The 11,663-nt window shown below is 40.5% G+C and overlaps 1 protein-coding gene across 30 annotated transcripts in view; it reads right to left on the minus strand.

Moving 5' to 3' along the window:
- The window catches only part of DPP8 (dipeptidyl peptidase 8), a 75,223-nt gene that overhangs the window by 60,328 nt on the left and 3,232 nt on the right, over nucleotides 1–11,663 (minus strand). For all 30 annotated transcript variants that reach the window (NR_135485.2, NR_135486.2, XR_007064467.1 and 27 more), the window contains 2 exons: nucleotides 9,501–9,770; nucleotides 4,449–4,561 (listed from right to left, as the gene is read on the minus strand). Coding sequence is in view for 25 of the 30 variants with exons in the window: in NM_001438674.1 (NP_001425603.1) it covers nucleotides 4,449–4,561; nucleotides 9,501–9,770 (383 nt within the window). In the remaining 5 variants the exon portion in view is untranslated. The remainder of the gene's footprint in view (nucleotides 1–4,448; nucleotides 4,562–9,500; nucleotides 9,771–11,663) is intronic.

The following is an 11,663-nucleotide window of genomic DNA, read 5'->3' on the forward strand; positions in this document are numbered from 1 at the left end:
GTTGGTATACAACCCCTAACTGCTACATTTGACTGACATTAAAATAAAAAAAGAAAACAAAAATACTTAGTAGTAAATTTAACCAAAGAAGAGCAAGACGTGTATATGGGAAACTGTAAAACACTGTTCAAAGAAAGTAAAGATCTAAATAAATAGAAAGACATCACGTATGCATGGATTGGAAGACAGAGTAAATGCGTATCAAAATTCCAAATGCCTTTTTTCCAGATATAGACAAGCTGACCCTAGTAATATTCATACAGAATTGCAAGAGACACAGAATACCCAAAACAATCTTGAAACACCATTAATTATTATTATTATTTTTTTTGAGATGGAGCCTTGCTCTGCTGCCCAGGCTGTAGTGCAATGGCGCGATCTCGGCTCACCGCAACCTCTGCCTCCCGGGTTCAAGAGATTCTCCTGTCTCAGCCTCCAAGTATCTGGGATTATATGCATGCACAACCATGCTCGGCTAATTTTGTATTTTTAGTAGAGACGGGGTTTCTCCATGTTGATGAGGCTGGTCTCAAACTCCTGATCTCAGGTGATCCACCAGCCTCAGCCTCCCAAAGTGCTGGGATTACAGGCGTGAGCCACCATGCCCAGCCTGAAGTATTTCTTTATTGTTGATTACTTTTTTCTTTCTTTTCTTTTTTTTTTTGAGACAGAGTCTCCCTTGGTCACCCTAGCTGGAGTGCAGAGGTGCCATCTCAGCTCACTGCAACCTCTGCCTCCCTGGCTCATGCGATTCTCCTGCCTCAGCCTCACAAGTAGCTGGGATTACAGGCGCTGCACCCCCACCGCCCTACCTGACTAATTTTTATTTATTTATTATTATTTTTTGAGATGAAGTCTTGCTCTGTCACTCAGGGTAGAGTGCAGTGGCACGATTTAAGCTCACTGCAACCTCTGCCTCCCGGGTTCAATCGATTCTCCCACCTCAGCCTCCCGAGTAGCTAGGATTACAGGCACCTGCCATCATGCCTGGCTTATTTTTTTATATTTTTAGTAGAGATGGGGTTTCACCATGTTGGCCAGAGTGGTCTTGAACTCCTGACTTCAAGTGATCCACCCGCCTCAGCCTCCCAAAGTGCTGAGATTACAGGCATAAGCGACCGCACCTGGCCTTTTCTGTATTTTTTTTAGTAGAGATGAGGTTTCACCATGTTGGTCAGGCTGGTCTCGAACTCCTGGCCTCAAGTGATCCACCCTCCTTGGCTTCCCAAAGTGCTGTGATTACAGGCATCAGCTACTGTGCCTGGCCCTTTTTAAAAAAAATTGCGGGCCGGGTGCAGTGGCTCACGCCTGTAATCCCAGCACTCAGGGAGGCTGAGGTGGGAGGATCACCTGAGGTCGGAAGTTCAAGACCAGCCTGACCAACATGGAGAAACCCCTTCTCTAATAAAAAATACAAAATCATCCGGGTGTGGTGGCGCATGCCTGTAATTCCAGCTACTTGGGAGGCTGAGGCAGGAGAATCCCTTGAACCCAGGAGGCAGAGGTTGCGGTGAGCTGAGATCGTGCCATTGCACTCCAGCCTGGGCAACAAGAGTGAAACTCCATCTCAAAAAAAAAAAAAAAAATTGTGGTAGGGCCGGGTGCAGCGGCTCACGCTTGTAATTCCAGCACATTGGGAGGCTGAGGTAGGCAGATTACAAGGTCAAGAGATTGAGACCATCCTGGCCAACATGGTGAAACCCTGTCTCTACTAAAAATACAAAAATTAGCTAGGCCTGGTGGCGCACGCTATAGTCCCAGCTACTTGGGAGGCTGAGGCAGGAGAATCGCTTGAACCTGGGAGGCGGAGGTTGCAGTGAGCTGAGAACGCGCCACTGCACTCCAGCCTGGCGACAGAGCAAGATTCCGTCTCAAAAAAAAAAAAAAAAAAACTGTGGTAGAACATGCTGGGTGGGGTGGCTCACACCTATTATCCTAGCACTTTGGAAGGTCAAGGTGGGAGGATCGCTTGAGCTCAGGAGTTTGAGACCACCCTGGGCAGCACAGTGAGACCCTGTCTCTACAAAACATTTAAAAGATTAGCTGGCAATGGTGCCATATGCCTGTAGTCCCAGCTACTCAGGAGGCTGAGGCAGGATTGCCTGAGCTCAGGAAGTTAAAGCTGCAGTGAGCTGTGATCACACACCACTGTATTCCAACTTGGGTGACAGAGTGAGATGCTGTCTCAATTAAAAAAAGAATTTGTATACTTTAGAGATACATACTGATATATTTCAGGAATGACATATCTGGTATCTTCTTTAAAACTGTCTGAGCAGGGCCGGGCGCGGTGGCTCACACCTGTAATCCCAGCACTTTGGGAGGCCGAGGCAGGCGGATCACGAGGTCAGGAGATTGAGACTATCCTGCCTAACACAGTGAAACCCCGTCCGTACTAAAAATGCAAAAAATTAGCTGGGCATGGTGGTGGGAGCCTGTAGTCCCAGCTACTAGGTAGGCTGAGGCAGGAGAATGGTGTGAACCCGGGAGGAGGAGCTTGCAGTGAGCTGAGATGGCACCACTACACTCCAGCCTGGGCGATAGAGTGAGACTCTGTCTCAAAAAAAAAAAAAATAGTCTGAGCAGTAGGCTGTGGGGGGTTGTGAGGGGAAGTTAGTAGGGCTACAATCAACACTGATGCCTAAGATTTAATCCTTGTTGAAAATATTTCACGTTATTCCACTTTTGTATGCTTTAAAAATTTCCATTATAAAAGTTTAAAACAGTTTTGCCAATTTTTCTGAGAAAATTATCGTTATTTCAGTTAAAGACACTGGTCTCAGAATAAGAAATTTTTTGTTTTAAAGAAAAGTCACATGCCTATGTAAAGGGCAATGTTCATGACAAATAGTTGGAGTGAAAATGATTAGTTGTGGCCAGGTGCAGTGGCTCACACCTGTAATCCCAGCACGTTGGGAAGCTGAGGCGGTGGATCACTTGAGGCCAAGAGTTCGAGACCAGCCTGGGTGACATGATGAAACCCCGTCTCTACTGAAAATACAAAAATTAGCCAGGCATGGTGGTGTGCACCTGTAATCCCAGCTACTTGGGAGGCTGAGGCAGGAGAATCGCTTGAATCTGGGAGGCAGAAGTTACAGTGAGCCAAGATTGCGCCACTGCGCTCCAGCCTGGGTTGCAGAGCAAGACTGTGTCTCAAAAAAAAAAAAAAAAGATTAGTTGTTATAAAAGTTTTTTTTTTTTAATTTCTATGAGAAACAGCACATTCATGTTATTCAATTAAGAAATACTCGGCCAAGGCCGGTGCGGTGGCTCACACCTGTAATCCCAGCACTTTGGGAGGCCGAGGCAGGCAGATCACGAGGTCAGGAGATCGAGACCATCCTAGCTAACACGGTGAAACTGTGGCTCTACTAAAAATACAAAATTAGCTGGGCGTGGTGGCGCATGCCTGTAATCCCAGCTACTTGGGAGTCTGAGGTAGGAGAATCGCTTGAACCCGGGAGGCGGAGGTTGTAGTGAGCCAAGACTGCGCCATTGAACTCCAGCCTGGGCAAGAAGTGCAAAACTCCGTCTCAAAAAAAAATGATAATAATAAATAAATAAATACTCACTGTAAAAATAATAATGAGAACCAAAGAAGCAAACGATTGTACCGAAACATTATCTTTGGGATATTTTCAACAATTTACTTTCTTATCTAAAGATAAAATCGGCCAGGTGAGGTGGCTCACGCCTGTAATCTCAGCACTGTGGGAAGCCGAGGCAGGCAGATTGCTTGAACCCAGAAGTTTGAGAGTTTGAGACCAACCCGGACAACATAGCAAGACCCCATCTTATTAAACATATATATATGTAAACATATATACATATAAACATATACATAACATATATAAAATATATAAACATATAAACATATGTGCACTGAAATCCTGGAATCTGTTTATATATTATACATATATAAACATATATATGTTTAAAAACTATTATATATATATGTTAAATAGTTTTTAATAAGAAAAAATAAAGATAAAATATTGGGGGAAATAAAACCCCAACCTTTGATTTTACATAAATGGAATTATACTATTCAGAAGGTAAAACTGAACTTTGTACCTTTATTTTAGTGCTGTTACTGAGCTTTAGAAATACAAAATCAATTAAAATATATAAATAAGCCTTTCTGGAAATATTTATCAGTTCTTTTCTGTGAACAACTCCTTTAAAAAATGTGAGAACTACGTAAGTACAAAGTTTATGAAGGGAAATGCAGTTAAACAGGGAGAAAGCAGTTTAAAAAATTGAATTTTATTATCTCAGTTTCAGATATCAAGAATTAAATGGAATTTCAGGGTCATACATGCAAAAACATAAAAACATCTTAATTTTTTTTATTTACATCTACTTCAAATATAAAATCCCAACCTCTAAATAAATGCAGTATCTGAATACATACACCAAATCATAGGAATAACAACATTTAATCCTACCTGAAAAAGATCCAAAAGAGGCTTCCAAGAGAGCATTAAGACTGCTGCTCTATTGATAGTTTTGGGAATTTCAGAATAAAACAGTGTATTTTCTCTGTTCTCACCAGACATGGCTATAGGAGAAAGCAATCATTTATTATTATTTTTTCGAATAGCATTCTTACTACAGTCACAGTTGCAAGTACATAATGCCTTCTATACACTGCAATATTTTGCACTCTATGGGATATATAATGAATGTTAACAAGTAGAATGTGCTTATGCCATATGCCATAAAAATTTTCAATAAAACCAAGGCTAGCCTGGCACAGTACACATGCCTATAATCCCAGCTACTTGGGAGGCTACAGTGGGAGGATCACTTGAACCTAGGAATTCAAGACCAGCCTGGGTAACATAGCAAGATCCCAACTTAAAAAAAAAAAAAAAAAAAAGAAATCTGAGGCTTTAAAGAAAAATGCTCAGGTTTCATTTTGGTATTCAGATCTTAGTCCCTCTCAAAATAAATATAAAAGTATGTAAGTTGCTGTGTAGAGAAAAGTACCATTTTCAGAATTTTTTGAAAATTGTGAGTCCTTTACAAGTTGGCAACAGGCTCATGAGATTCCAATATAACAACTTCAGATTACTGTTTCTGAAACATTTAAAGTGCTTAATTGGAAACACATAGATCTAACTGAATTCTAGTTTTTATTCATTATAAAAGTTCTGTAGGCTGGGCGTGGTGGCTCATGCTTGTAGTCCCAGCACTTTGGGAGCCCGAGGCAGGCAGATCATTTGAGATCAGGAGTTTGATACCAGCCTGGCCAACATGATGAAACCTTGTCTGTACTAAAAATACAAAAAAATTAGCTGGGCGTGGTGGCACGTGCCTGTAATCCCAGCTATTTGGGTGGCTGAGGCAGGAGAATTGCTTGAACCCAGGAGACGGAGATTGCAGTGAGCCGAGATCACACCACTGCACTCTGGCCTGGGCAACAGAGCAAGACTCCGTCTCAAAAAAAAAAAAGTTCTGTAACTATAATCATTAATAAGACCTTTAGGGTTTCCAATAAAACTATACTAATATTAAAACAATACAGAATCTGGCAACTGATCTGCTGAAAATCTCTTTGTCCTTTATTGGGGAAGGGCAAAGGAAAAAGGTCTAAATTAAGTAGAAGCCAAATCTCTTCTGCAAAATCATGTGATAACTGGATGGGAAGGTCACAGCAGTGTAGAGTGAGTTACATATAAAAGATTGACAGAAACACACTATGGTTATGAAGATATGAACCAAAGAAAACATAAGGTAAAACAAAGCCTTTCTATTCTAAAAAGGTATTACTGGCCGGCCGAGGTGGCTCACACCTGTAATCCCAGCACTTTGGGAGGCTGAGGTGGGCGGATTACCTGAGGTCAGGAGCTCGAGACCAGCCTGACCAACATGGAGAAACCCTGCCTCTACTAAAAATACAAAATTAGCCAGGCGTGGTGGCACATGCCTGTAATCCCAGCTACTCGGGAGGCTGAGGCAGGAGAATCACTTGAACCCGGGAGGCAGAGGTTGCAATAAACCGAGATCACGCCACTGCACTCCAGCCTGGGCAACAGGGGCAAAACTCCATCTCAAAAAAAAAAAGGGGTATTGCTTCCAAAAAGCTGGAGGAGTGAAGGAAGGAAAACATAAATCACACAAAAATAACAAGAAATCTCCTGGGTGAAAGAGATCCTCAACCTATGTTTCTGAATTATTAATGCCAGCAGAAGGTAGCCTCGGGAAAGGTATTTATGATAACTCCCATGCTAACCCTTGCAAATGTTGAGGATAAGCCCCCAAATAACCATATCTTTTTTTATCCTCTTATTTTTCTAATTAGTTTATGTTGCCTTTGGAGTAAAAAGTTATATATCAGCTGACATTTACTTCAGCACTCAATTTTGTGTAAAATCTACTTTGTAGATTCCCAAGTTGCTTTGCTATAGAATTCTTAAGACTGTGGTCACCTATCAATACCATTCACAATTTTACAAAATGTGATCCTTCTAAGAGCCTTCAGTCTTCAAATATTAAAACAAAAAGACAAAACTGGTTTTCTTCTCTCCTCAGTAACAGCCATTCCCCCACAATCATTTCAGTTGCCCCTCCCTATATGCTCCTAGTTCCATAATGTCTGCCTTGGCTTTATCCATGACCAGTAAAAATTTCCCCAGCACATTCTATGTTCTGACATAAGCACAAATGGGCTTTTCTCATTCTTTCCTAATGGTATTTATTGGTCTTTAGAGCTACAGCAGTCATTTTGGGCCCATGTCTTCAGGCAACAGTATCAATGAGTCTTGTTTCTCTTTAGGATAGCATGACAAAGAACAAGAGGCAAAATTAAGCATGTGATGAAGTAAAATGCTAATGTAACGAAATGCTTGTTACTAAATAATAGAGCTTCTTCTAAGCATACCACGTTTGGAATAAGGGCTCTCAAAAATGTATGATTTCTTATAAAAGAAAAGATTTCTGGCCAGGTGTAGTGGCTCACATCTGCAATTCCAGCACTCTGGGAGGCTGAGGTGGGTAGACAGCTTGAGCTCAGGAGTTTGAGATGAGCCTGAGCAACATGGTGAAACCCAATCTCTACCAAAAATACAAAAATTAGCTGGGCATAGTGGTATGTGCCTATAGTCCCAGCTACTTGGGAGGCTGAGATGGGAGGATGGCTTAAGCCTGGGAGGTGGAGGTTGCAGTTAGCCAGGATCACACCACTGCACTCCAGCCTGGGCAACAGAGTGAGACCGCCATCTCAAAAAAAACAAAAAACAAAAAAGGCCAGGTGCAGTGGCTCACGCCTGTAATCCTAGCTGAGGCAGGCAGATTGCTGGAGCTCAGGAGTTCCAGATCAGCCTGGACAACATGGCGAAACCCGTCTCTACAAAAAAAAATACACAAATTAGCTGGGCATGGTGGCACACGCCTGTAGGCCCAGCCACTTGGGGGATTGAGGCGGGAGGATCACTTCAGCCTGGGAGGTCAAGGATGCAGTGAACCAAGATCATGCCACTGTACTCCAGCCTAGAAGACTGAGACCCCGTCTCAAAAAATAATAATAATTAATAATTAATTTAAAAAATAAGCAAACTTGGGACAATCCCACAAAGGATTAATTCACTTACTATATAAAAGGCTTCAAATCATTAAGAAAAAGAAACCCTCTTCAGGGGTTGGGTGGAAAAAGAACTTTAAAAAATAAAAAAGAAACCCAAACCAATTAAAAAACCAAAGATTATAGACTGTGAATGTACAGAAGAGAAATACAAATGGCTTTTTTTTTTCTTTACTTGAGACGAAGTCTCGCTCTGTCATCCAGGCTGGAGTGCAGTGGCACCATCTCAGCTCACTGCAACCTCCACCTCCCAGGATCAAGCAATTCTCCTGCCTCAGCCTCCCAAGTAGCTGGGATTACAAGTGTGTACTACCACGCCTGACTAATTTTTGCATTTTTAGTAGAGACGCGGTTTCACCATGTTGGTGAGGCTGGTCTCAAACTCCTGACCTCAAGTGATCCGCCAGCCATAGCCTCCCAAAGTGCTGGGAATACAGGTGTGTGCCACTGCGCCCAGCCACAAACGGCTTTTTAAGCATGTGAAATGATGCTCAACCTCACTCATAAGAGAAATAAAATAAAAACAATGAGAAACTGCTGTTCGCTAATCTGACTGGGAAAGATCAAAAAGTTTAATTACTCACTACTGGTGTATGCATGGAGAAATAGATAATCGGAGATAATGTCATGGTAGTATACACTCTATAACCTCTTTGAAAGGGGAGTTCAGTAATATCAATCAAAATTCAAAATATATATACCCTTTTTCCCAGTACTTCCACTCTTAGGAATTAGTTCTACAGATATATTCATACATGTGCAAAATGATCTAATACAGTGATATTCACTTCCTCATCTTTTGTAACAACAGATTAGAAAAACCTAAATGCCATTACTGGAGGTCTGGTTAAGTAAAATATGGCACAATTATATAATGGAATATTCTGAGTTGTTAAAAAAGAAAGAATCCTAGCCTGAGCAACATGGCAAAACTCCATCTCTACAAAAAAATTCAAAACATTAGCTGGTTGTGGCAGCGTGTGACCATTATTAGAGGTCTGGTTAAGTAAAATATGGCACAATTATATAATGGAATGTTACGAAGTTTTTAAAAAAAAAATGAATCGCAGCTTGAGCAACATGGCAAAACTCCATCTCTATTAAAAAAAAAACAAAACAACAAAACATTAGCTGGCTGTGGTGGCGTGCACCTGTAGTCCCAGCTTGGGAGGACTGTTTGAGCCTGGGAGGTCAAGGCTGCAGTGAGCCATTAGTGTGCCACTGCACTCCAACCTGGGTGACAGAGTGAGACCCTGTCTCAAAAAAAAAAAAAAAAAAACTATAATTATGACATGAACTCATGCAGACATCTTTAATATCTCCATACACACATACATACACACACCACACACACACACAAATAAATAAACACATATACACACACATTCACATAAACGAATAAAATTTATATTGGAAATATTTTGGAGGAGGGGAAGGAACCTACCTTTAAAAATTTAACAAACAAGAAAGTAAATCAGTAGATTAACATATTTAACATAGGCAGACATTAAATCTGGAGTGAATGGATTCAGGAAGAAGAGACCAAAAACAGCCTTGGATTAAAAAAACAAAAGCAGCAGCTGTTGAGTGGGAACAAACTAATGGTTTTATTGTTTGTTTTCCTAATCAGACCATCTAAAGAAAGGCATTTCAAGCTAGCTTTAGGAAGAAGCAATTTCTGGCATCTTCGATTTTGAAAAACGATCATGATCAATTAATGACTTGTTACCTACAAGTAAAAATAAAGTTAATGCGATACAACAAAATCGAATTCTTCAAATTATAGGCTTTTCTTTAATGAAACCAAAAGTCACTGATTAATTTATTCATCAAACTTTTGAGTGTCAATTATACCTAGACTTTAAGTTTGACTTAAGAGATCATTTTCTCTCAGAAACTACAACTTCGTACTCACCAAGGTAATAGATTCTGTCTGAATGAGGTCCATCTGGATCATTCCTCTTCACAAACATGAAATCATGTGGTGCCTTAGCCATCATGTAGCCATGATATTTTCTGGTATCGGCAAGCAGCTTTTTAAGCTGACTCCAGGAATACCGCTCAACATAAAAAGGCTCCAATTTAGGCCGATCCTGTGATTCAATATTCTCCTCACAGTCCGCAGTTTCAAATATCTCAACACCCAGCTGTTCTGTTTCCATTGCTGCTGCCATGTTGCATTTTCCTAGAAAAACAAGGCACATGAAGCTGTTCACGGGTCTATCTTCTATTATCAGAATGATTCTCTGAGAGGGTCAAAAAAAAAGCGGGGGAGTGGGGAGGGCAAGAAAAAAATGCTTTTTAGCACAGCTGCAATGAAACTTAGTAAGAAAAGCAACAGCTCTCCCTTCTCTGTGTTCAGTTTAAAAATGAAATTAAAAAAAAATTGAGGTCAGGTCTACTTCACAGTGCCTATAAATCCCTTTGGTAGCTTTTATAAAAGGCTCTCCTTAGGTATTTCTTGCCAAAACTCCCTTTTCTTTCCCACACTGGAAGGAAACAGGCCATTTGCCAGTTGGCTGCTATGCTCCACCCAAGAGCACGTCAATAGTGAAGCTAACTCTGCCAAGGAAGCTAAGTGTTTTGCATTTTAAAAAGTAACACATTTGGTAAGTGTGGATTTTTTTCAGCTAACAGAAATAACCACAACAAATGAGAACGGTAATAAAATTGTCAAAAATAACGTGCATGTAATAACCTTCCTAGGGTACTTACCCAAGATAATATATTGTTTCCTTTTAAATGGAAAGCCAAACAAAACACTTAACTGGCTGATGCATTTCTGAGTCTTCTGCTCTTGCTAGACATCACTATCATGATCATTTGTGGTGACTCTACATTTTTTTTTTTTTGAGACGGAGTCTCGCTCTGTTACCCAGACTGGAGTGCGGTGGCAAAATCTTGGCTCTTTGCAAGCTCCGCCTCCCAGGTTCACGCCATTCTCTGCCTTAGCCTCCCCAGTAGCTGGGATTACAGGCATGCACCACAACGCCCGGCTAATTTTTTGTATTTTTAGTAGAGATGGGGTTTCACTGTGTTAGCCAGGATGGTCTTGATCTCCTGACCTTGTGATCCACCCGCCTCGGCCTCCCAAAGTGCTGGGATTACAGGCATGAGCCACCGCGCCCAGCGTGGTGACTCTGTATTTTAAGGAAATTTACATGACTATTCTTACCAATCATACAACATATACTGATTAAATGGCAGGAAAAAAAGATACTATCTTAAAGTGGCTTTAATTAGCTGAAGTAGTTGATACAGAAAGCATTTAATATTTGTACCAACAGTATTTAGATAAAAAGTATAAACTGGGGTTTACCGGTTCAACCCCTAAATAGTGTTTGTTAATATCTCATCTGCTAATGTTTATTCTCATTTCACAAATCCAGAAGTTGCATTTCTCCTTTATCTTTTCCAACATTTAACATGAGCGAAGTACCAAATAACAAAAAGTGTTATCACAAACCAGTGTGTATTCCAACATATATTATTCATGACACTGCCAAAAAGAAGGAACATAAAAATTCTGGGCAATCTACTCTTTTTGAACTAATAAATGTCAAAGACATGTGGACTTGGGAGATAAACTAAATTGCATTTAATTATTAACTACTTCTATAATAATAAATACAAGGCTGTACATTTAATATATCTTTTTTAAAGCCCAAATTTGAAGGCTAACATAAATTCATAGTAACTATCACAGACTAAAAGTTATTAGCAGGTATGGATTGTGAATTAGTCCATTAAGCACACGTTACTGGCATGCCAAAGAACTGAATGAAGTGTGTGTGCAGCTTATTTTGTCTTTTTTCATGCTACAGTTACCTATGTTACCATTTTCAATATAACAGTAACAAAGTGGCCAGAAAACCTATTAGACAGTTACCAGGTATGCTTGTATCATTGTAACAAATGAGCATTCACTTTCAATGACTAAAATCCAAAACAGCTTGGCAGGGAATTAAGTCATTTAGTTCAAGGAGTATCCAGCACACTGATATTTACTGACAGTATAAGACTGTGGTGGTTATATACTATCATATGTTGTTTACTTGCCCTAATAAAAGCTAGCTAG

This window comes from Homo sapiens, chromosome 15 (assembly GCF_000001405.40).
Source record: "Homo sapiens chromosome 15, GRCh38.p14 Primary Assembly".
NCBI classification, from domain to species: domain Eukaryota; kingdom Metazoa; phylum Chordata; class Mammalia; order Primates; family Hominidae; genus Homo; species Homo sapiens.